Source organism: Homo sapiens, chromosome 8 (assembly GCF_000001405.40).
Source record: "Homo sapiens chromosome 8, GRCh38.p14 Primary Assembly".
NCBI lineage: Eukaryota > Metazoa > Chordata > Mammalia > Primates > Hominidae > Homo > Homo sapiens.
Window position 1 is genome coordinate 41258205 of NC_000008.11, and position 25973 is coordinate 41284177.

General features: G+C 45.8%; 1 protein-coding gene, 1 non-coding gene and 1 pseudogene across 2 annotated transcripts in view, besides 2 other annotated features; 1 reads left to right on the forward strand and 2 right to left on the reverse strand.

The window, feature by feature from the left end:
* Positions 733-792: an enhancer, noted in NCBI's record as "active region_27281". NCBI's record gives its function as "activates an Ori minimal core promoter by ATAC-STARR-seq in GM12878 lymphoblastoid cells {active_cell/tissue: GM12878}" and the evidence as "EXISTENCE:reporter gene assay evidence [ECO:0000049][PMID:35858748]".
* Positions 3758-25973, reverse strand: part of SFRP1 (secreted frizzled related protein 1) — a 47512-nt gene continuing 25296 nt past the window's right edge. The window contains exon 3 of the mRNA NM_003012.5: positions 3758-7285. Coding sequence (NP_003003.3) covers positions 6963-7285 — 323 coding nt within the window. The 3' untranslated portion in view covers positions 3758-6962. The remainder of the gene's footprint in view (positions 7286-25973) is intronic.
* MIR548AO (microRNA 548ao) lies at positions 12844-12939 on the reverse strand. Its single transcript, NR_049801.1, has one exon. It is a non-coding gene; the product is annotated as a microRNA 548ao (primary transcript).
* Positions 13200-13455, forward strand: RPS29P2 (ribosomal protein S29 pseudogene 2; annotated as a pseudogene).
* Positions 17982-18566: an enhancer, noted in NCBI's record as "NANOG-H3K27ac-H3K4me1 hESC enhancer chr8:41133705-41134289 (GRCh37/hg19 assembly coordinates)". NCBI's record gives its function as "activates a minimal SCP1, AML or CMV promoter by ChIP-STARR-seq in naive H9 embryonic stem cells {active_cell/tissue: H9 hESC(naive)}" and the evidence as "EXISTENCE:reporter gene assay evidence [ECO:0000049][PMID:30033119]".

Consider the following 25973-nt stretch of genomic DNA (forward strand, 5'->3'; position numbering starts at 1 on the left):
ATGCCAACAAACTGTGGGTTCTGATTGCTTTATTTATATTTAAGCCCTGACACCCGGGGATCTCAGAGAAGCTGGATCCCTGGATCCTACCTGGCCAGCCAATGGGCAGGCTTCCTGAGGGTACACAGCTTTAGGACTGTGGACTCAGGCACTCCAGGGAAGCGGGAAATAAGAACTTCTCCTTAGTGCTTGCAACTGCCACATCAGAACTTAGCTGAAATCCGAGGGATCGGATCCCAAATCCTTCCTCACCAGCCCCCATCCACCAGTCCTTTTGCTCAGGTGATAGGAAGGTCATCCTAATGATAACCACGTGGTGGGTTTCAGCTGTGGAAAATTCCTGGCCCCTTTCTCCTTCTTCCCACCCCCTCCTTCTCCCCTTAAGCACACACACATGCAGCTTTCCCTTCCTTTATTTAAGCAAACAACTCTCCATGATTGGGTACAGCCCCTTCTTATCTAAATAGTCTGCAGATGCATGAAGATGCAGGCGCTTTCTGCTCCTATTCGGAGCTTGTTCTGGTGCCCATCTTCTCCAAACCTACAACAAGTGGCCTCCCTTAGACCTTGCTGACAGCAATCCCTACTGCCTGCTCCCCTAGTAAGTCAGCTCAGGGGACAGGCTGTCCTCAATGTATCAGGGGTGGGATTTTCCCTCCAAAGACTTCAATTTCCCCTCTCTTTCTTGGCTCCTCCCATAACCTGAGGTTGAAACTGCCCAGACATGAGCAAATGGAACAGGGAAAGTCCCAATTTTGTTGTCAGATTCCTATGTAACTTTAGTTGTCCAGGTACATACCACCAGTTGGTTAACACCATCAACCCCTGGTGGGTCTGGGGATGGGGGCTGAGGACTGGGAAGTTTGGTAAAGGGCACAGTCCATAATGTTAATAGATGGGAAAAATAGGAAGGAACCTGTGAGTTTCCATAATGAGCAGGGTCTGAGGGAAAAGAATTAACCCTAAGGTCTAGGACAAGAATGAAATCTAATGAGTGGGTTGAGAAGATCAGCCCCAGCTTTGGGTTTATAAGCATGACTCTCTGGTTTGATTTTCTTCCCATTCCAAAGCGTGGTCAATATTTTGAGTCCTTAGGAGATGGGCTGTGCTGATCATAGAGATGGTGATACTGTAACAGGGGGTGAGGACGCACCTGAAACCATCAGCCTGTTAGAGCTTCCCTACCCAAAGTACATTCTGCACACTGACAGCTTCACAGCTTCAGCCTCACCCGGGTACCCAAGGAAACGTGGTACACATACACTATGGAATACTACGCAGCCATAAAAAATAACAAAATCCTGTGCTTTGCAGTCACATCCAAATGCCACATGTTCTTACTAATAAGTGGGAGCTAAACAATGGGTCCACATGGACATCAAGATAGACAGAATCAATTCTGGGGACTCCAAAAGGAGGAAGGGGTGGGGGCAAGAATTGGGAAATTTCCTATTGGGTACTATGTTCACTATCTGAGTAATAGAGTCAATAGAAGCCCAAACCTCAGCATCATACAATATACCCTTGTAACAAAGCTGCACATGTGCCCCCAAATCCAAAATTTATATTTAAATTTTTAAAAGATTATTCAAATGTTAATATGGCCCACTAGTAGTTTGCAAAAAAAATTATATAATCTTTGGATTAAGAAAAATAACCTCTTTTGATATTAAAAGCATTACGAGTCATGTGTGCTTTAGGTACTTATGGATTATTTGACAAAGCTCCATTGGATAGGCCATGTATGTCTTTATACAAATAAAACTGGAAAAATATGAGGAAAAAAAAGAAAAGAAATGCAGAATTCAAGCCCACCTCAGACCTACCCTTCAGAATCGGCATTTTAACACTGGTCCTCAAGTGAGTCATATACATATTAAAATGTGAGAAACACTCCTTGGACAGCCAAATGTACTCAGTCTTAAGGAAAGAGGGCTCGTTCCCCCTTGCATTTAACTTGCCTCTATTAGCTGATGCCGGGTAAGATGAACTCACAGAGCTTCAGAAGGGACTGCGGCAATATGAAGTGTGGATGTGGGGAGAGGGAGATGACAAAATAACTTCCTGCCTCTCATCCCCGGGCCACGCAGGTCCTATGAGAATGTTTTGCAAAGTAAGATCCCGTGAACTGCTGGCATCAGAGAAACCTAGCACCTTGGTTCTAGAGCCCCTTTGCCAACCTTCCCAAACTTTCCCAATCAGAATGTCTGGGGGTGGGAGCCAAGACCCACATATTAGTAAGCTCCCCTTGGTGATACTCACATAGGCTGAAATTTAAGAACGATTCTCCCTCTGCCCTTCAATTGCTATTGGATGATTAGTACCATGTCCCACCCTCAGGAGCAAAAGTGAATTGCTAGCACTTCTGGACCCAAGGAGGGGAGACAGCCTTTGAAGTTAAGACCAGCCTACCTCTGTGTCCCTTGGTCTTTTATACCTCCTGCCTAGGGAAGTGCCGAAATTTTTCATTAAGGAGGTGCAGGTGCCATGCAGCTTGAGGACAAGCCTGTGGTTCCAAGTGCTGCCAGCATCTCTGAGGCACAAGCGTCAAGCAGTCCTGACCCTTGGGCACCCCAAACTCCACCACGGTGACTCCAGCAGCTGGAACTGAGATACCTTTGCACACACTTCATCATCCTTTTGCAGACTTAAAAAAAATGGAAATGGTGGGTCATGGTGGTGAGCTTCAGTAGGGGGTGGCAATGACATCTCCACCCAGCCTAAATAAATTTTCTTTCTTATTAACCACAGGGAGCTAAAAGGAAATATGGACATTTTCCTTGGCTGGACTAGTATCTCACTATTTTACCAGTCAGGTACATTAGCATGTGAGAATCTTTCTGGACTACAGCATGACTTTGATAGAATGTTTACAAGTCCTCATACCACACCTTAAAAAAAAAGTTGTGTCTCTGTGCTTGGGCGTGGATTTGGGTAACCTGGGAATATTTTATCACTTCTGGGTAAAACTGACAGTTGTCTGCGGTTTGGAGGTGACTTACTGATCAGGGAACTACATCCACTGAAGTTGTCACTGTAATTGCTTGCAGAATTAGAAGTCACATGGAAGAATTCCTGAGGCAAGAAGCACATAACCTAATATGAAACAGCTTGGGCTGGGTATGGTGCAGCACTCTGAGTCCAAAGGGAAGCTCGGCAGGGAGCGCAGACATCACGCCTACGCAAGTGGGATGCAGGAGCCCTGGGTTCTAATTCCAACCAGGCGAGTGACCTGGGAGTCCCAGACTAGTTGGGAAATCCCAGCTATATCCCCATCTTACGTTAAAAGAGTGGATATGTTCCTCTCCAAGGCCTCCTATGTGTCTAAGACTCCAGATAAGGACAAGTTTTCCAATTCTAGTTGGTAATTCTAACATTGAGTTGAGCCGGAGGGGAAAGAGAATGTTTCCATGAGAAACATGGAAAAGAAATTCAGGCAGGGCCGAAAGCTACATTCTTGTAGAGCAAGCATTTAACCTTCTCTCTGATCTGAAACACACACAACCAGGAGAAACACTTCTGGAAGTTATTTATAGGAGCAGATGGTAAATGGGAGGGTGGGGGCCACGGGTAGCCTGTGGTGCCTCCCAAGTTCTCCTTCAGCCCACCCACACCCAGTTACCATTTGCAAGCTGTTGAACTGGGACCAGAAAGCATCACTGAAGAAACTCAAGAGGAGAAAGATACATGTGGTTCACCGGAAAGGGTGAGAAGTGTATGACTGAGTGGGAAAAAAAAGTCACAGCTCACAGTATCATTGATTAATTGAGTGATTTTAGTCAAGTGAATATTGATACATGGCTGAAAAAGCATGAAAATAAAATGAACACGTACGGGAATTACTATTAACATAAGCGATAACATCAAAACATCTGGTAAAATGCAGTTAAAAAAACAACACAAATGAAATGGAATGTAAAACATTTTCACAGTATTCAAAGCTTTTGTAAGAGACTTAGGATCTAAAAGAGGAGTACTACAGGAAGAAACTAGAGGAAACGGGAATTTCATCCATGTCCTGTGTATCTGCTGGCAACAGGTCAGAACGGCCAGTATGTTATTCCCTGCAGGCTGCCTAGGGTGCTCTCCTCAAACAGATCACCTGAGCCTCCTGCATCTATGAAGTTATGACACAGCAACCAGTTACTCAGAGTCTGATGAGAAAAACAGATTTTAGGTTTGGGAAATGGGATTACTGTAATTTACACATCCAAATGCAAACTGGAGCTCTGATTGAATTCTACCCTGGGGAGAACTTGATGCTAACCCACAGGTACCAAGAGCCAAGTGTTACACAGGATATTTTAAAAATAAAATGTTTTTGGAATCCTCACCTCCCATGCTATCTTCTAAGATAACTACAAATATTCTTCAAAGATTTAACTGAGTTCTGCCAAGGACCTCCCAGGACTCTATCCAGAATGATTATTGTAAAGCTTTACAAATCCCACCTTGGCCCTAGCGATAATTAGGAAATCACAGGCAAACCTCCTCTCTCGGAGACCAATGACCAGGCCAATCAGTCTGCACATTGGTTTTGTTAGATACTTTGTGGAGAAAAACAAAGGCTCGTGATAGTGCAGCTCTGTGCCTACAGAGAGCCTCCCTTTTGGTTCTGAAATTGCTGATGTGACAGAGACAAAGCTGCTATGGGTCTAAAACCTTCAATAAAGTAACTAATGACACTCAAGGTCCTGGGACTCTGAGACAGACGGTGGTAAAACCCACAGCTGCGATTCACATTTCCAATTTATTTTGAGCTCTTTCTGAAGCTGTTGCTTCCTACCTGAGAATTCCCATTTAGAGAGCTGCACAGCACAGTCACCTGCTCTTCCGTATTCTGTGGTAACTACTAATGTTCCAGGTAAACCCCTCCACTAAGGACTCTGCCGCAGAGAGAGGGCCCGGTTGCATGAGGCACTTTGTCAAAATGAGCAGATACGTATGAGCACTGAACTCTTGAGTGAATCAACCAGAACTAAGACCCAGATCCACGCACTCAGGAACTTGCTCTGAATTTCAGTTTGACAACAGAGAAGTAGAATATTTCTAATTAGCTAATATATATACACATTTTTTAATCATCCAAAATTACAGGCAAATCACTTAAGGTCCCCAGCACTTTACGATGAAAGGTCAGAGAGAACCCCACAAAAAAGGTGTTAAAAGGACAGGATCACTAACTGTGAGAGGTTAATTTATCAGGATAACTCTCCGGTAGGTAACTAGGCGGGCATGCTGATTTTCATACTGGAGTCTTCAAGAGTTAACAGAATCTACCATCCTTTCCTCCGGGTCAGGCTAGGGCCGCAGGGGGCCACTTTACAGCCTCACTGCAGCATCCTCACTGGGTATAAGCATTGGCCCAGAGGGACAATCATAAATGTCCTCAAAGTGTTGCAGAGAATTAAGAATCCGGCTTTGGGGGAAGAAATTAATATGCATTTTTTTTAGAACTACTTCCTGTACATTGGACAAGAAGGGTAAAGTTGTCTAAGTGAACTGGCTTATATACATCGCTGATTAAACATAAGGGCTTTGGGAAGTATCTCAGGGTACTTGGGAAAAACTGCAGAGATGTTTTGCTTTTGAAACTCTCTCGCTGGATGGGGACACCCCACCCATGTCAACTTTCCATCTGCAGAAATGAAACAAATATATGTAAAAAGTGCGGGGGGACAGGCAGGCTGTTCTGAATTTCTTTGATCCATAGGCAATCAAGTTCAAAGGAAATGTTTCTTTACAGGAAAGAAAAAAACGGAAAGCTCTGTGAGTTTTGCTAGGGGGTGTTAGGTTCTAGGGCAACCACGGACTCTTCAGGAAGGAAAGCCACACAGCTACACTACCAGGGAAATCCGCCTCCCTTGGCAAATGCCTGGGGAGAGCTGCTCCTCTGGGAAGCAGCCTCGGACGGATCAGGAGACCTTGTTCTAGCACACCTTTCAAATGCTCAATGTAGACTGTTTTAAAACCTTGAAAAATAAGTGGGTGTTTGTCATTGTTCTTTTAAAAATGTGAAAAGGAAAAAACATGAGATTAGAATCCTAAGCTCTTCACCCAATTTCACAATTCACCCTGACTAGCAATTTGCTGGACTGTTCTAAAATTTTTTTCATTTGTTTCTTTTTTAACTATGTGTTTTGAAAACTACTGCCTTCTCAGCCCGAAAATCGCCGTCTCTCTCAGGCTCACTGTGGTTTCCTTTTTCTGACACAAAGGCAGGCACAGGCTGCCCCTCCACATGTCTTGGGGATCAGATCATGCCCCGGGCTCATAGGAACCGAAACTTTGGGGCATCTGAGACTGGCTGATTCAGATTCAAAGACAATCACACGGAAAGACTGTGGGCAGAGAAGGCAATGCCTCTCCCCTGGTCCCTTTGCTGTCACTATTACATAATGGACTTGCACTTTTCCTCCCTGCACTTATCACTTTCTGGGCTTGACCTTAATTGTAAGTGTGGTATGAGTCTGTTTCCATTTAAAGCAGACAGAAAGAAACTACTCTGGACCTGAAAACAACGTGACTTGCCAATCATTAGAATTTTCTAGTTGAAAGGCATAGATCAGCCAATAGATCCACACCAACAAGTTGCAAAATGTAGTTTTTGCTGCTGGCTCTCACTTTCCGCCCAATCCCCCTTTTTGTGTTTTAGTGGCTGTGTTGCTGTTGGAAATGGTTTGTCACCTCCTCCTGTGCAGTGGCTGCTGCTCCACATTGCGGATCTTAAAAACCTTCCTAATCTAAATGGCCCTTGCTTTACCCGGCCATGGCTACCCTGGGGTTTGGAGCGTGGCTATGGAGGGAAGGGAGCGGGAATGCTGCAAGAACAAGCCGACTGGATTACAATGTCCACTACTGACAGGCGCAGTGCGTGTGTGTGACCCACCGGGTTCCCGGGGCACTGTCCCCCCCGCTCCCACCCCACCCGAGGCTCCCTCCCCACCCTGCCCCCGGGAGAATCACTTAAACACGGACTGAAAGGTGGGGCACTCATGGTTTTTCATTTTCTTCATGAAGTTTTTGAACTCCTTGTTTTTCTTGTCCCACTTGTGGATGGCCGTCAGCAAGTACTGGCTCTTCACCTTGCGGCCCATGATGAGGAAGTGGTGGCTGAGGTTGTCCAGCTGGTGGCAGGGACAGTCAGCCCCATTCTTCAGGTACAGCACAAGCTTCTTCAGGTCCTTCTTCTTGATGGGCCCCAACTTCAGGGGCTTCTTCTTCTTGGGGACAATCTTCTTGTCGCCATTTTCTTTTTTCACTTCTTTTATTTTCATCCTCAGTGCTAGAGATGGAGAGGACAGAAGAAGAGAAAAGAGGGTAAGAGAAAGCATTTAGAACACAGCTTTTCTTTTTTTGATCCTCAAAGTGATTGCATTTTATTATTTTATTTTTTGGCTTATACTTTCTTCTTGTAAATATATATGTTTTTAATTTTAGATTCAGGGGCACAGGTGCAGAGTTGGTTTCATGGGTATACTGCATGATGCTGAGGTTTGGGCTTCTAATAACCCCATCGCCCAAGCAGCAATTACAGTGTCGGCCATCCTCCCTCATGTCTTTTGGAATCTCCAGTGTTTACTGTGGAACAAAGCTTTTCATCTAGAACAATAACCCAAGTGTACAGCTGAGGTGGAGAAGAAAATGAAAGGCAAGTAACAAGTCAAGAAACAGGCAGTTTTATCCATAAAAACCAAGGTCTGTTAATCCCAGCACTTTGGGAGGCCAAAGTGGGTAGATCCTCTGAGGTCAGGAGTTCGAGACCAGCCTGGCCAGCATGGTGAAACCCCATCTCTACTAAAAATACAAAAATTAGCCACACATGGTGGCAGGCGCCCATAATCCCAGCTACTAAGGAGGCTGAGGCAGGAGAATTGCTTGAACCTGGGAGGCGGAGGTTGCAGTGAGCCAAGATCACACCACTGCACTCCAGCCTGAGCGACAGAGCAAGACTCCATCTCAAAAAAAAAAAATCAAGGTCTCAGTTACCCATTCTGCCACCGCCTCCGCCCCCTATTCTGTGGTGTCCAGTGGTATCTCTCTGTAATGGCCATCGGTGCCAGGAGATCCTCAAATAAATTTCAAAGCTAAATCACATTGCTCTTTTTAAAAATCCAGTTATCATGCACTGCTTTAAGAGAAAAAAGGGTCCTATAACCCAATTTACTCCACATGATCTGATGCTATTGATCTCATCATTCAAAGACAAAAAATCCTGAGTGTTTTTGTTTTTTATTGTTGTCTTTGTGGAGGCAGGGTCTCACTCTATTGCCCAGGCTGGAGTGCAGTGTCTCGATCTCGGCTCACTGCAGCCTCAAACTCCCGGGCTCAAGCAATTCTCCCACCTCAGCCTCCCAAGTACCTGGGATTGCAGGCATGCACCATCATGCCTGGCTGATTTTTTTTTTTTTTTAAGAGACGGATCTTACTATGTTGCCCAGAACTCCTGGACTCAAGAAATCCTCCCTCCTCAGCCTCCCAAAGTGTTGGGATTACAGGCATGAGTCACCACGCCTGACCATGAGGGTTTCTTTTTGTTTGGTTTTGTTTTGAAGAGCAAGTTATTGGTTTAGTATTTTAACATTGAAAGACCTACAATTCCTTGAAAATTGAGTCCTATAAAATGACAGGCAGAACTATGTGTGTGCACTCAGCAAGGGAAAGTTAAAGGTTGTTTCAAATGGTCATGCTTCCTGCATTAAACATCAACGTCCAACCACAGCATGGGAGAAATCAGTTTCTACTACTGGGTCTCTATGGCGGTAAGACAGCAGGTACTGCTAGTATCAGTCAATCGCTAATCAACCACTAATCCCCACTGACAGGCAGCACTAATGTTCTGCCAACTGAGAAGACCTACACAAAATCCAAATCTACTTTGACTTTCTGGCAGATTAGAGCAAGTTCTGGTGAAGTCCTAATTGATAAATCCAGGTGATGAGCTCTCTTCAAATCCAATATGGTACCAGGGCTGCTTCTGTTCTCAACTCCCAGGAGTGTGGGAAAATCAGCCCATTCACCAACTCTGCTTTCTCTTTTCTCTGTCCCAATGGACACTGAATTAACAGTGTTAACCTGTGAGCCACATCCTGTAGCAATGACTCCACAGGGGCTGCTGATGAAGATAAATGAGCGTGGACATGCTCTATAAACGAAGCAGACTGAACACACAGTGTCGCGGGTACAATCAACTCCCCTTTAAGACTGGTCAGCCCGAGATATTCCCAAAGGAGTTGGAAATCACTTTCTAGGTGCCAGTCACCAGATAATTTGCGTATCTTCTGAACTCTTTTTAATAGAAAATTACCAAGCCCCCTCTTTTTAATGATGCAAGGCTTCCACCCACACACCCTGAGGAAAGTCTTTAACCTGAACTAAATCACAGTGGCTAACAATTATGAAAGCATGTGACCTGCCAGAACATGTGCTAAGTATTTTCCGTGCATTTCCTCAGTTAATTCTAACAACTCCAGGAGGAAGGCATAATTATTTTCCCATCTAATAGATGAGAAAACTGAGGCATAGGGGGTTAAGTTGGCTTGCCTAAAGTCACTAATCCTAAGTTGAAACCCATGTCTAAATGTGCACTTTTAATCTGCATGTTGTCCATGCTGACTCTATGGTTCCAAAATTCTTTAGAATGGACCCCAAACTTGGAGTACTGATTAAATGGACCAAGAAGATCACAGGGAGGAGCTCAGACCCTCTTCCCAGTTTCACCTACATTTCAAAATGACTTCACTTATGAAATGGCAAAAGAGTGCCTCCTGGTTGAAAGAGACTTCTCTGGCAAAGGAGAAACTGCATTTGTGAAAGCTTTATTATTTAATATTTTAATTTATTTTATTTATTAGAGATGGGAGAAACTAATGCATACTCCAGCTGACAAGGCGAGCGCCCTCTTGTCTGCAGAGAAGTGAGCCATTGTAAGGTAGTACCCACCACATGCTGGGCTCTGCAGATGAGAATGGGATATGTCTATCTACGACTCCTTGTTTAATACTCGCAGCAACCATGTTAAGAAGGCATCAATAGTACTTTATTATAATCAAGGAGAAGGACTCAGGTTAAGTAACAACAGCATGAGGCCACAGTTTGTAAGAGACAGAATCAGGATCAGAACCCACACCTAACCCCAAAACCACTCTTTCCTGCCATACACACCACGACCCGGTTAGAAGTGATATTGCTTCATTGGAAACTATTTCACTCTTCTGATTGTGTTGCTTTCAATCACAATTCAAATCAAAAATTAATGTTCCTTTGCCATGACCGTGTAAAGGAATGTAGTTTACGTAGGTGGGGGAGCAGCCAGGGAGGAGAAATCAGAGTATGGGAATGTGTTACACATTAGACTTTACTTCTTGTCTTGCCACTTGGCCCCTTTCTTTTTTTGAGGTGGGGAGAGCAGGAAAGAAGGCACGTATGGCCAGAAATTACTAACATCTTTCCATCTTTCAAGGGTTTGTTTTAGGAGTGCAGACTACCAACAATGTTGAAAAGATCATGAGCTGTCCCGGGTGGATTTTTCCTTGTGGGTGTGTGTGCAGACCCCACCATGATGCATCCCGGGGCTGCTGGGGCGAGGGCAGGTGCTGGCCCAAGAGCAGCCCGGAACTGATCACCACCACCCCATCCCATCATGCTCACAGGGCCTGGGCCCCAGCGATGTTGCCCATGGCCTGAATTTGCAATGCAAATGGTGGTGGTGAACAAACAGAAGCCCAGAAGGTAGCAGCTGGGGCAACAGCTGGATACAGTCCCAGGTCCTGGGTTCTTCTCTGAGTCTCAGTACTCTGTCTGTAAAGTGCAGGGCACCATCCGACTGCAGGCCTGGTGGATCGACCATCTGAGGAGCCCCTGCTGGGTACTTCTGGGAGACAGCAAAGTTTATCTCCAGCACTATCCCCACCCTGTGCTCACTCCATGCTTCCCTGATTGGGCACCCTGCTGTGCCTGGAGCATAGGGCTAAAACTAAACTACCACCTTGGACCCTGGATCTCAGCTCCCTGTAACAGCTAGACCCTAATCTAAAACCAAACAAAAAAATTTTAAAAATTATGTGTTTTTTTTCTTAAGCAACAATTTTAACATCCTCCAAGGGTAGGACATGACTCCCACCTAGGCATAGCTGCCAGCAAGAATTCAGAGACCCAGAAACTTTGAAAACTCAAAATTTGAGGCTGCAACAAGGGCCTGCCTGGGTCTTTCTCGGGAAATCTTAAAATAATCCATTATATTTGAGTAGGCCATTAAGCTTTCATTCTACTTGCAGTCACCCAAACCATTTTTGCTCACAAATTATACTTCCTTGGTAGCCTCCCTCAAGAAGCCTGGCCTTATTTGGGAAGCTGAAATGAGAATGAGGAAGTCATCACACACCATCCCAAACCCTCACATTCTTCAAAGCCGTCTCTTCCTCCTGACTCCCTGCTTCTATGAGTGGTGCCTCCAACCCTCCCAAGCCCGAGACATCCTACCCATGACTTTGAACGTAAGGCAACCATTGGCCCAGAGCCAGTCATTTCATAACCAGTCCTGTGGAATGGCTGTAGGAATCCAGGAAGGGTCTGTGGGGAAAGGTGGCATGGGGTTGCATTAGGAATCAATCTTATAACTCCTCTGATGGCAGATGATAGTAGCAATGAAGGGTAAAGTACAGAGGGAAAGAGGGACATACTAGAGAGCGCCTTCGTCAGGTGAAAGGAAGAAGAGTTACTGTAAATGCCACGGGAGGCCCCGCTGGGAAACCAGGCAGCCCAGTGTCAATGAAGACCACAGGGTCCATTTAAATGGAGGAAACACCCCTCAACCCTAAGTGCCGAAGAGCTTAAGAATGAGTCTGAAACTAGAGCACTTCACTGGGTGATTAGGGGGCCACGCCAACCCATAGGAGGCCAGGATCTGGAGTGGTGAGGGCAAATTCCAGAGAGCAAAAATCCAATGGGAAGGGAAAAGAAGAGAGAAGCCATATCACCAAGCTTCTGGACTGAGTGCGAAGGAGCACTTGCAGGCACGCTAGCCACATGGATTAGACTGAGCCCGTGCAATCATTCCCACTCTTCTTGAAGTCAGTTTAAAATTAGAGTCAAAAAAACAAGTTATAAACACATGCAAGAAAGTGGTAAAGGAAAAAAGAACATATCAACATTTTGTATGACAGAAAGCAAATGGATGGTAGAATCTGGCTTAAAAGGGAGAAGAAAAGCTAAAATGCAGATAGGGATGCCAGTAAAGTGCAGAGAAAAGAAGAAAAAGAGGGACAGACAGGGATGCCAGTAAAAAACAAGCCCATTTGCACTCCAGGTCCCACAAATGCTCCTGATTGGGGCCCCCGGACACTCCTGAACTCCATCACAGAGGCTGTCAATGTTGGGATTGGCAGCAAGTTTACATATGGACACTCAAACCTACTCCCCTGGGCCATGAGTCCAGGTGGCTGCCCTCACCAACTCCAGCAGTAGCCATGGGCTTCATTCCATACAGAAGGCCTGTAGTTCCAGCTACTTGGGAGGCTGGAGGTAGGAGAATCGCTTGAACCCGGGAGGTGGAGATTGCAGTGAGCCGAGAGCGCACACTGCACTCCAGCCTGGGTGACAGAGCAAGACTCCATCTCAAAAAAAAAAAAAGAAAAAGAAAAGAAAAGGGGGAAAAAAAGAAGGCCTGAACCTGCACACAGCCTGCCGCTGGGGTATACTAGACACAGAGGAGGACCGGACAGGTGCTGCTGCGTGAACACCAAAGGGTTACATGAAAGTCTGCAAAGTGAAGAATGAGACACTCGGGTCTTAGAACACTACATTTATATGCCTGTGTCAGAGGATTGAGTGGTTTTTCTCTAAAGAAACTATTAGGCTGTTGCAAAAGTAGTCACGGTCTTTGCCATTACTTTCAACTGCAAAAACCGTAGTTACTTCTGCATCAACCTAAGAATAGTTCAAAAGAAAAGACATATGGGCCCTCTGCAAAATTCTCAAGTGAGGCCTAACAAATCACAGGCCCTGCATGTACACAAAGAGCTTCCAACGTCATGTCTCGCTGTTAAATTCAAATGGACAGTCAAGGGCTGGCAAGTATTTAAGGAAAGCCTCCAAATGTGAATGGCAGAGACTGTAACATACAAAACAGAAAAGGAAGAAAAGGAATTCAGAGATAACAGAGACAATGCAGGGAGTATTAAAAAAAAAAACTTTTCACTTTTTGCCTTGTTGCACTCCTAAAAGCAAGATGGGTCACCAGCAGCTCTCCTGGAGCCATCCAAAAAAATTCGGCCAGGGTTCTCATTCTTGTCATTATGGCCTCAATATGTGCTGCCAGTGTTTCCATCAGTATGCAGAGGAGGTAGGCTTCATTAGGTTAGACTAAGTGAGCTTCCCTGAATGGATTATCCAAGGCATCCACCAAGTGAAAGAAACCATGCTAGCTCTCTGTACATAAAATAAAATTTTAAAAAAAAAACTTTAAAAAATGATAATATGGCCAGGAGTGGTGGCCCGCACCTGTAATCTCAGCACTTTGGGAGGCTGAGGCAAGCAGATCACTTGAACCCAAGAGTTAGAGACCAGCCTGGGCAATATAGTGAGACCCCATCTCTACCAAAAAAAAAAAATTAGCCAGGCATGGTGGTGCATGCCTGTAGTCCCAGCTACTCAGGAAGCTGAGATGAGAAGATCAGCTGAGTCTGGGGAGATTGAGGCTGCAGTGAGCTATGACTGCACCCCTGCGCTCCAGCCTGGGTGACAGAGTGAGACCCTGCCTCAAAAAAAATTGTTTTAAATGATAATAAATTAGATAAGACTTTTGTATTCCTAAAACAAGAACAGAAAGCTATTAAAAGGAATGTTCAGAGACTGGGAAAGATTACTTGGAAATTTAAAATATAAGAGAAGAAATATAAAATGCAAGACAAGTAAAAAGATGTGAAAGAAAGGAAATAAATATGCAGTACACTACATGGCTCAGCTGCAAATAATATTTACATAATTCTAATAAATTAAACATTCAATATTAACCAAAAGTGTGATGTAATTATATTGGAAAGATAGTGTAAAAGAGATAAATCTTTAACTTCAATAACAGAAAATCAATAAATAATGGTTTTAAGATAAGGTTAAAGAGGCCAGGCACGGTGGCTCACGCCTGTAATCCCAGCACTTTGGGAGGCCAAGGCAGGTGGATCACTTGGGGCCAAGAGTCCAAGACCCGACCAGCCTGGCCAACGTGGCGAAACCCCGTCTCTACTGAAAATACAAAAATTAGCCTGTGTGGTGGCATGTGCCTATAATTCCTGCTAATTGGGAGGGTGAGGTAGGAGAATTGCTTGAACTCAGGAGGCAGAGGTTGCAGTGAGCTGAGATTACACCACTGCACTCCAGCCTAGGTGACAGAGCCAGACTGTCTCAAAAAATTTTTTCAAGAATATTTTTTAAATTTTTTTTAAAAGATAAGGTTGAAGAAATTTCATGAAAAGATGAACAAAATGACAAACAGATGGGAAACAGAGGAAAGAAAAAGAGAATCAATCCAAGAGTTTCAACATCTGAGAAAAGGGTATTATAGCAAGAGAGAACAAGAAAACAAACGGCAGAAAATACCAAAGAAATAATACAAGAAAACTTTCCAGAAATGAAGAACATGAGTCCTCAGGTTAAACAACACCCAGCTCAAAGAATCATGACATTTACAAATATGAAAGACAAAAAGAACTTTTAAAATCTTCAAGAGAAAAGGGTAGACATCTAATACAAAGGATCAGTATCCCAGTTGCACTGGATTTATCAATACAGACACTGGAAACTGGAGGATAATGAATCAATGCCTTTAAAATTGCCAAATTTGATACTGAGGCAAGCTATCAATCAGCATGCAAGAGTAGAATGAAAACATCTTCAGGCATTAACAGGTTTTAAAACATCATCTCCCATGTATCTTTTCTTAGGAAACTACTCAATGATGTGCTCTACAAAAATGCAGAATTTTTTTAATTTATAAAATGTATTATCAGCCAGGCACAGTGGCTCACACCTGTAATCCTAGCACTTTGGGAGGCAGAGGTAGGCAGATTGCCTGGGCTCAGGAGTTCGAGACCAGCCTAGGCAACATGGCAAAACTCTGTCTCTACTAAAAATACAAACACTTAGCCAGGCATAGTGATGCGCACCTGTGGGCCGATCTACTCAGGAGGGCTGAGGCAGGAGAATTGCTTGAACTCGGGAGGCAGAGGCTGCAGTGAGCCGAGATCATGCCACTGCACTCCAGCCTGGGCCTCTGTCTCAAAAAAAAAAGGCATTATTAATGTTATTTTTGATTGAAAAGTAATAATTGTATAAACTTATGGGTTACAATGTGATGTTTTGTATAAGAGAAGGAATGATTAAATCAAGCTAATTAGCATGTACATCATCTCACTTACCTATTTAAAAAAATGCAGAATTAAACAAGACACGGGATTCAGGAAACCAAAGGTCTAACCTAAGAAAGGAAAAGGAAGGCTTAGGATGGTTTTTCCCGAACAACTGTGTGGCAGGCTGTGATGGTTAATTTTAGGTGTCAGCTTGGATTGAGGGATGCTGAGAAGGCTGGAAACGTGTGTGTGTCCAAGAGGGTGTTTCAGAGGAGACTGACATGTGAGTCAGTGGGCTGGGAGAGGAAGAGTCAGACCTCAATGTGGGCTGGCACCACCCAATCAGCTGCGAGGGCAGTCAGAATAAAGCAAGGAGAAGAAGGCAGGTATTCAGCTTGTGGAGTTTCTGCTCTCCCTCCCTTCCCAATAATGGCTGTTTCTCTTCTCCTGCCCTTGCACATCAGACTCCATGTTTTTCGGCTCTGGGACTTTGGGGCTTGCACCAGTGGCCTCCTGGGGGCTTTCAGGCTTTCAGCCTCAGACTGGGGGCTGCATTGTTCCAAGGCTTCTCTGGTTCTCCAGCTTGCAGACAGCCTATCGTGAGACTTCTCCAATCCTGTGAACCAATGCCCCTAATTAACTCCCTCTCCCATCTCCTGTTGTTTCTGTTTCTCTGAAGAACCCTGTCTAACAAAAAAGCCTAAAGCTCCATCAGCCCAGACCAATGGTAGGAAAGAGAACTCAGGCAGATTTCCTGATGCATATCTGCCAGAAAGCTTGGGGCTGAATTCATAATATGAACATAAGTAACTGGGTTAATAAAATGGGGCAGTTACTATCTCCAGGAAAAACAAAATGATGTAAAAGAAAGGAAATAAATATGCAGTACACTACATGGCTCAGCTGCAAATAATATTTACATAATTATAATAAATTAAACACTGAATATTAACCAAAAATGTGATATACCTGTACTGGAAAGACAGTGCAAGAGAGATAAATCTTTAACTTCAATAACAGAAAATCAATAAAGAACATCTAAATATTAAAAATAAGAAATCCAATTATAACCATGTTATTTATTTGCTCCAGTTTGCTGAATATGAAGAAATCACTAAAATACTTGAAAATTATTACTTCTAGGTCATAGGAACTAGAGGTGGGAAGGGAACTGCATGCAGTTTTTGTTAAAAACCATTCATTCCAATTTAACTTTTTAAACTATATTTACGTTGAATCAAAAATTTAAAATTTAAAAAACTTAGTCTAATAAAGAATGTCAGTGTATATAAAATATAAATGAACCACAAAATGTCAGATCATGAAGGAAATACAGAGATTTCACATCTCCAGACCCTTCACCCTCCATTCAGCTGGAGCAACTTGGCCATATAGTTAGGACTTCTTAAGGGTTTTGATTAAGAATTCTGCTTTCTCAACCAGCTTTTTGTTGTTTCCTTTTTTTTTCTTTTTTGAGGAGGAGGAGGGAGGCAGTCCACTGATTTAGTCAATCCCCATCATTTTTCAGATAACAAAATCAATTGGGTTAGAATGCAAATTATTTACTTAGAACTGGAAGAGACGTTAAATCTGGTTCAACCGATGCTCAAAAGTGAAGTCACTTGTCAGCTCTGCCTGGAACCTGCTCCCTGCTTCCCTACCCAGAGCTTTATGATTCATACAGCAGTTCCTCCAGTAGGAGAGCGAGAGGGGATGAATGGGGGCCTAGCCATCTGGGATGACGGGGCAAGCAGTTGGATCCATTTTTTCCAAAAGGTGCTGTTAAAAAAAAAAAAAAAAAAATCACCCAGAGACAGATACCAGACCACACACTCTGATTCCTAAGAGACTTGCTTTTTCCCTAAATTGCTTTCTTTTTCAGAGGGGCCTAAAGTTCCCAAAGAGATAACAAGAGAAGTAGAGGGCAAGCTAGTCACAGTGAGACTGGCAAACTCTTTTTGTTTTTTTTTTTTAGACAGAGTTTTGCTCTTTTGCCCAGGCTGGAGTGCAGTGGCGGAATCTCGGCTCACTGCAACCTCTGCCTCCTGGGTTCAAGCAATTCTCCTGCCTCAGCCTCCCGAGTAGCTGGGACTACAGGCACACACCGCCACGCCCGGCTAATTTTTTGTATTTTTAGTAGAGACGGGGTTTCACCACGTTAGCTAGGATGGTCTAGATTTCCTGACCTCGTGATCCGAGACTGGCAAACTCTTTAAGAGACAGGGTCTCACTTTGTCGCCCAGGCTGGAGTGCAGTGGCGCCATCACAGCTCACTGCAGCCTTGATCTTCTGGGCGCAAGTGATCCTTCAGTGTCAGCCTCCTGAGGAGCTGTGACTACAAGCATTCAGCATCACATTTGGCTGATTTTTTAATTTTTGTGTAGAAACAGGGTCTTGGCATCTTTCCCAGGTTGGTCTCGAACTCCTGAGCTCAAGTGATCCTCCCACCTCAGCCTCTCAAAGTGCTCTCAAAGATGTGAGCCACCACACCAGTCTGTAAACTCTACAAAGTGGCTTAGCCCAGCTTGGTTGATCAGGAAAGGCCCACAGACGGGCACCCCAATGCACCAGTCGCATGGGCCTGCTCCACCCCTCCTACCCCACAGAGCCTCCAGGTGGAAAAGTCTGCTCAGATACCAAAGCCTCACTAAGCCATGAAGACAGAGCACTGGTTTCCTGCCTCCCAGCCCCAGATCACACATGTCTTGGGTAACCCTGAGGTCTGAGGCAGAAAGCACCCTCCCCAAGTCCAATTGTGCAAATGAGATTCAGTAACAGCACTGGGTACGGCATTTGGCTGCAAGCAACCACAACCTCCTTCCAACACTCAGCAGAGTTCTGGGCACCATGGCGAGCTGGCTTTGCGGCACTAGGGCCCAGATAAGTCCTACTGACAATGGCCTTGCAATGGCAGCTTAACAGACCCCACTGTTCCCAGCAGGAGCCAATGTCTGGCATCATTAATTCGTTTAGCAGAGAAAGGGGCTTGTGCTTTGTCACAATAACTCAGCGTCTCTCCCCTGACCACAAGCCACATGCTGCATACTTGGATGCATTTGCTGACTACAAGACATACGTTACACACAAGAACAAAAAAAACTAAACTAAAAGAACAAGATCCAAAGCAGATTTCTTTTTCTCTCATCTCCAAAAACAAAACAAAGCAAAACAAACAAAACAAAACAAAAAACAGCAGATGTGGAAAATGCTCCTGAGTGGCTCATTTGGGACAAATTATTTAATTGAAGTTGTCCTGTTTTCTGGACCCCAGACACCTCAGGAAGGTGGCCAGGCAGGAGAGTAGAGATTGCAACTTTGCAGAGCCCTCTCCCCAGTACTCACATATGAACGCACACACGCAAGCTCATGTACACATGCACACACACTCGCCAGCATCATCAATGCATACACACCAGCAGCATCGGTGTCAGCCATCCAGAATCCTGCTGCTAACTGCTTGATTTCCTGGATTGTGTTAAATCCCCACTGAGTTAAGCTAATGGTGCAAAATGAAAACCCCACTCTGAGAGCAAAGTGCTGCCTGGTGTGATTTCATCTGGGAAGCCACGCATCTTGGGGAGCAAGGGCTTGGGCCTCAGAGTGGATCAGAGAAGAACTGTGGCCCCTCCCCTTCCCAGTGTGCAGCTTAGCCTCTTCCACCCCCAGCCCCCCACCCTCACCACCATCCTGCACTGGAGGGAGAGAAAGAAGAATAGGAGAATCACTTAAATAAAGTCCATCACTAGGATTGATTGAATCTTGGCTCTGAGTCCAGGCAAACCTGCCAAGGCAAACAGCTTTTCCTACCATGGGGTCACTGGTTTTTCATTCCTCTCCAATCTACTTCCTGGTGTTTGCCCAAATGGCAAGTTGAAATGTGGGATGGTCTCCTGGGAGGGAAAAGATGGGGAGTGGGCTACAGAAAAGGCAAAAACTATCCCTCGCTCTGAGAGATGCTAGAGTGAGCATCATCAGAATCACCTGGAGGATTGTTAAAAATGCAGACTGCTGGGCTCCACCCCTGGAGCTTCTGAGTCAGCAGCCATGAGATGGGGCCCAGGAATCTGCATTGGTTTTTATTTTTAGAGACCAGGTCTCACTCTGTCACCCAGGTCAGAGTACAGTGGTGCAATCACAGCTCACTGCAGCCTTGAACTCCAGGGCTCAAAGGATCTTCCTGAGTAACTGGGACTATAAGCATGAGCCACCACACCACCTAATTAAAAAAATGTTCTTTAGTTTTGTACAGATGGTGTCTCACTATGTTTCCAAGGCTGGTCTCAAACTTCTGGCCTCAAGAGATCCTCCCACCCTGGCCTCTCAAAGTGCCAGAATTACAAGCATGAGCCACTGTGCCTGGCCAGAAATGTGCATTTCTAACAAGTCCCCAAGTGATGTTAATGCTGCTGGCCTGGGGATCACACTTGAGAACCACTGGTTTAAAGAGCCTGAGGGTTGGGACAGGGTGGGTTGTTTGATTTGTCACCTTGGTTATTCACAGTGGTATCTTTTAAGGACTCTTTCTTGGATGACGTCTAAACATCCTAGAGGCCCAGAGCAGCCCCCCAAACCCACTGGAGCTCAGGTGGAAGCCAGCAAAATTGGCACAGGCCTGTCCAAGACACAGCGGAGTAGGGCAAGGTGGTCAGCACTACTTACAGAATTGCTGAGGTCTCTTCCAGAGCTGTGGGTGCTTGCAAAATCAAGAAAACAAAAGCTTGGATAGCAAGAGGCAGCACATTTCAGAGGAACGGACCCCAAGTGGAGAGTCAGCAGACCCCAGCTGACCAATCCCACCACTCACATTTTAGTGGATTAGACTCCACCATTAACCTTTAGCATAAACTTGGGTAAAATCATTTTACTTCTCTGGATCCCAGCGTAGCCATTTGCAAAACGAATGTGTTCATTCATTGAGATGGATCCGTTCATTTCAGTCTCCCTGCCTGCAATGGTGAGCTACATCTGCATCTTCCTATTTCCTTTCCCTGTCTTTGAAATCCAGTAGAGAAGCCCAGACCGCACAATGGGAACATCCCACCTCTCAGATGGCAATGCTGCCCAAGCCGCTCCACCCCCAGGGGCCTTGCTTGCATGTGCCCGAGGCCAGCCCTGCAGGGCAGACAGTAGCACAAGAGCACCATCTTGGTCACAAAGTTGTCTAAGCTCAAAGACAGCCCCGGAAAAACACCTGACACACTCCACAAATAATAATCAGCAGATCTTCATGCCATCCCATGTGACAGATGGGGAGCAGAGGCCTAGGGGGCTGCTGGCCCCTTTGCTGAGAGACCCCTGACAAAGTTAGTCCAATGCCTCTGCAAAATCGCAGCAGTTGCACCTCACTCTTCTCCCTTTATCATGTTCTCGGTTTGTCCTCTCTGAAGGAAGGGGGTGCAGGTCACCTGTGCTTCAGGCCGAGCTACAGACCATCTTCTCCTTGATGCCTCCCCAGCCCAGTCTAGCCTTGGCCTTCCTGGCTCTCCTTGCCTCAACATTGATGCAGCAGAGCTCTGCATGAGAATGACCCACGAGTGTTCCTACCTCTCCTCCTCCCCTCTGTGAGCTCATGTAGGACATGGCCCAAAACGCATCCAATCTCTGTTCAATGACTAGTGCAATGCCTGACATCAGGGGGCTCAGCTAAACACACGTGGGGCACACAAATGAACAGAGAGATGGAAAGAGCTCAGCCACTGCCCGGATGTTCAAAGACTCACTCGCCAGACTGGAACTCTCTGCACAGAACTCCGCTTCAGCACTAACAACAACAGCAAGAGCCAGTGGTCACCGAGTGCTTGCCCAGGCCGGGGTCTGGTCTACCCACCTATCAGTAGATGCACTCCGGGACACCTCTAACAGCCTAGAAGGCAGATACTCCAATAATGACACCCAGTTTCTAGATGTCTGGGAGCAGAACCTTTCTGTCCCAGAAAGGTTCAAGTCCCACAACTAGTCCATGGCAGAGCGGGACTTTGATCCAAGAAGCCTGGCTCACAACATATAAACACTACCAGAAGCAAAACGAACCACATAAGCAGAACAGGAGGCCTCTGTCTTGGGGGTTCCCTTTCTACTGGGGATAGCTGCTTTTCAGGCCTGGGGGCAGAGAAGGGTCTCACTGGCCCCCTTTCCCTCCAAGAGCTTTCTAGGTATAAAGGGATTTAGAGAGGGAAGCATCTCTCTGATCCATCATAGACAGTTCCAAAGTACAAAGCTAAGAAAGCAAAAAAAAAAAAAAACCTATGTCCAAAATCCTTCATCCTCGCCATCACATGATTCTCTCCAAAGCAAAAATAGAGGCCTCATCTCTCTGGACCTGATAGTGTCAACAAGCACAGTTCAAGGTTCTTGCTTATTCCCATTTCTGACCCTACCTATTTATCCAACTTTCTACACCTGAATAGTCTCTTTCTTTTTTTCAGCTTTCTAGGCTTTATGTCAATAGCAGGAAGGCTTGAAGACAGAGGGGCCCTGGTGGCCTGCTCTGACTCCGGCCCTTGGCGGGCACGAGGTCCAGTCTGAGCCTGGGCCCAAGCCACACACCTTCCCCGGCATAAGATGGGCAGCGCTGGGCTTCCCTCCCAAGTCCAGGGGAGTGCAGGGGGAGGGCTGACGGAGCTCATACAGTTTTCCTTTGTGGGGTGCAGGGTCGGGGGATGGTGCGGCAAAGCCCTGCCCGAGGCACACAATCATCCAGTGAGATGACAATGTACACCAAACAGGATGCAGAGGAACGCTGGCCTCTCAAAGCTGAAAAGTGTCTTGACCTGAGACAGGTCTGGCCAAAGCCAAGAATCTAAAAAGCTAAGAGGAATCAGCACCCGGTCCTATGTCAAAGCTGGCCTTACCTCTATTTTCTGGAATTCGCACTCCCTGCCCTACTCCGCTGGCACGCATTCAAGGCAGCCAGGTGGCACCGGCCTCAAGCTGAATGCCCTGACTCCGGCTTCCAGGTCCTCAGACCCTCCCTGGGTCTTTCCTTTCTCTCAAGCCATCTGGAGCCTACACACAAGTCACGGGGCAGAGGTTCTGAGAGCTGAAGGGAGCAAGCGGCAATAAAAACCCATACGACCCCAACTCTGCACGCCCTTTCTACTTCTTCAGGAAGCCATTTCTTGAGAAGAAACAAACAAAAAGCTTCCCTGTGGCTGCAGGAGCTGCTGACCCATGGGGCCAAATTAGCACCTGCAGAGGGACAAACAGCCCCAGCCCTAGAGGAGACCACAGAAGGCTGCTGGATGGGCAAAGACTCAGGGCACACATAGACAGAGCTTTGCAGGAACGGGTGCTCGGCCCACATTCTGGAGCGCCTGCCCCAACTCCCAGAAGCGTTCCTAGCATGCAGAAGGCAAGTGCTTTCTAAGTATCTCTACCAAGTGGCTCCACAACAGACAGATTCTTTTAATGTTCCAAGTACTCTCCAGGGACCGTGCTTCTCTTCCTACTGAAGATAGTCAACATCCAGGTTTGGGGGCCAAGGCTGAGCCCTGTGGGACAGGCCCGTGAGCTCCTAGCAGGCATGACCACCTCTAATGTATGCAGCTCCCTCTCCTCTATTTCCTTTTCCTGCCTCTCCTGCCACCTGCCAAGTGCTCCTACCTCGTTCATGGCCTTCCACTCCGTGCAGGGAGGGAGTGGGAGTCCTCTCTCCTGCACCTCCTCCCCAAGGCCTCCAGTTTGCATCAGGGGTGCTGATCACAGCCCCACCTCACCAGCCTTCACCAGCAAGCTTTGCCCTGTTACACAGCTGGGCACATTCGGGGGCCATGCAGGCCCTTCAAGGATTTGCCAGTGGAGTGGGAGTGCAGTGCCCCTCACTCCCTCAGCATGGGGGGATTGATGTTGCAGCCACAGACAGGGGAAAATGAAAGACAAATGTCAGCTTGCACTCACCCATAGCTAGAGGCAAAGTCCCTTCAGAGCACAGAAGGGTTAAGCCCATGGCTGCCATCCAAAGAGTTGAGACACATTGAGGATGCGGAGGCAGCTAGTCTGTCCTCAGGTGCTATCCAAGCACCCTTGTGGCTCCTATCTCTTGTGAATGGATGTGTACACAGGGGCATAATATAAACAAGTCACAGGGTCAATCTGTCATTGACTGAGGGTTCACTGTGAAGCCATCCCTCATATACTGCACACACCCTGGCTAAGCAAGATCAGTAACCTGAGGAGCTGCAATGCTGTGTGCAGGGGAAACCCCCACACCCTACAGGGTGATGAATTTCATATACATGGCCAACTGGGAAAGGCACAGTCTCAAGATCTAGGATCCCCTCCCAACCTTGCTGACCACTCTCTGGTGTTCTCGCCTACCCTGATCGTGATTTGTCCAGAGCACCTCTGGCGAATGCATATGTCGTGCCTCATGGTCAACAAATAAACAAGTTTCAAAGGGTCCTCATTTGTCTGAAGAGCCTGAAATGAGCTGCTAGGACAATTCACGAGACAGCTGGAGACCTTCAGAGCACTCAGGGCCAAGGGCGCAAAAGGTGGCCCCTCCATTCCTCTCGTCACCCTATAGGACTGGGTTGCTAAGGGCCTTTTGGGTAGCTGTTTGGTTGCCTCCCACATCTGCCTCTCACTGTCCCTGGTTTGCCTGCATGGCAAAGGGCCTCTCACCCAAGGTGTTCAGATGTGTGCACCTTGTAGCTCTGTGTTTTGTAATGTTAGAAATTAGGTTTTGGCCATGCAGGGTGACTCAGGCCTATAATCCCAACACTCTGGGAGGCCAAGGTTGGGGGATGGCTTGAGCCCAGGAGTTTGAGACCAGCCTGGGCAACATAGCAAGACTCCAGCTCTACATTTTTTTTAACTAGTCGGGCTTGGTCGTGTGGGCCTGTAGTCCCAGCTACTCAGAAGGCTGAGGTGGGAGAATTACTTGAGCCCAGGAGGTCAAAGCTACAGTGAGCTAAGATTGTGTCACTGCACTCCAGCCTGGGTGACAGAGAAAGACCCTGCCTCCAAAAACACACAAAAAATGCTTGTTTGGAAATCTGAAATAGAAAAAAATAAATAAATAAAATAAAATTTTAAATAAAATAAAATTTTAAATAAAATAAAAATAAGCTCAAGCATGGGAAAGCATTTTGAACATGGCAACCTGTTCCTCTTACTTTTAATTCTGTATTATTTGGACATTTTTTATTTTATACAATGTGAACACATTGCCTTTTTGAAACTACATATTCAAAAATATTATATACACAAATATATGTACAGAGTTATATACATGTTTAGGTTTTATTCATCCATTCATTTATTTTATTTTCCTGGCTTTCTGTACAATTTTAAAGTACTGCCCTGCCTTCAAGAAAAGCCAGAGACAAGCAAATAAAGTTTTTTTGCACTGATCGGGCCAAAATAACTCCAGCTTTAGAAATTTTGATTCATTTCCCTATGTTCTTTCAAGAAGCTCTCTGTGGCTATCTACGATCTCATTCTTCTTCATTCCACTCCAAAAGAATGAAGATTCCAACGTATCTCACAGATAAGAACACTGCTGAATTTAGATTCTTGCTTTTATTACATGACCTTGGACAACATGAGTCTCCATCCTGTTTCTTCCTCTCTTTCTAGATGTAGATTTCAATATCTTTATTAAGTTTCAGGTCAGTCATGTCCTTGTTTCTCCTTCCCTTTGCTACAATAAAAAGTACTTTTCCCTGACAAGTGTCAGAATTAGACCACCAGGTAGGCGTCACATCTATCTCCTCCTCCGAGTCCCTTTCAGAGTGTGTGTGTCTCCCATACAATGGGAGTAGGATGATCTTTAGGCCTTGTCCTGCGAATAGGTCACATTCTCTGCATTAGACAGAGCTGGTGGCCAGATAGGAAACCCCCGTGAGACCATCTAGACAGAAAACGTGCAGGCCCCCGATTGCTGTTTCAGCCATGCTCAAGATTTACTTAAAGACAATCCAATGAAGTGATCAGAAGATCAGGCCAAAGTCAGCGGCTGAACTTGTAAAAATCATTCAGATCAACGCTATTTTTATAGAAACTAAAAAAAAAAATTAAACTCCTCCAACTTTCTTTTTTTTTTTTTTTGAGACAGTTTCTCTCTGTCACCCAGGCTGGAGTGCAGTGGCACAATCTGCCTCCCAGGTTCAAGTGATTCTCCTGCCTCAGCCTCCCGAGAGTAGCTGGGATTACAGGCACCCACCACCATGCCCATCTTATTTTTGTATTTTTAGTAGAGACGGGGTTTCGCCATGTTGGTCAGGCTGGTCTCGAACTCCTGACCTCAGGTGATGCACCCACCTTGGCCTCCCAAAGTGCTGGGATTACAGGTGTGAGCCACCACGCCCGGCCAAACTCCTCCAATTTTCTTGTATCTATTGATGAGTTGGGCTAACACAAAGAGTTGATTAGAGCTTGTTACTTTGCTCAGCCTGACTGTTCCATCCAACCTACTGCTGTACACAAGGTGTCCTAGCTGGGCCAGGGGACTCTCTGGGGGATTGCCTACAGCTCCCACCAGCATTACCTGTTTGCCATGGCAAACTTTAAGATTGTCAGCAAGTAGGATCCAAACCTAGGCCTGCACATCTAGAGTGGCTGACAGGAGCCTCATCACTGAGTGAAGATGGGAAGCTGGAGAATCCAAGAATAATAAGAAAGAGTCTG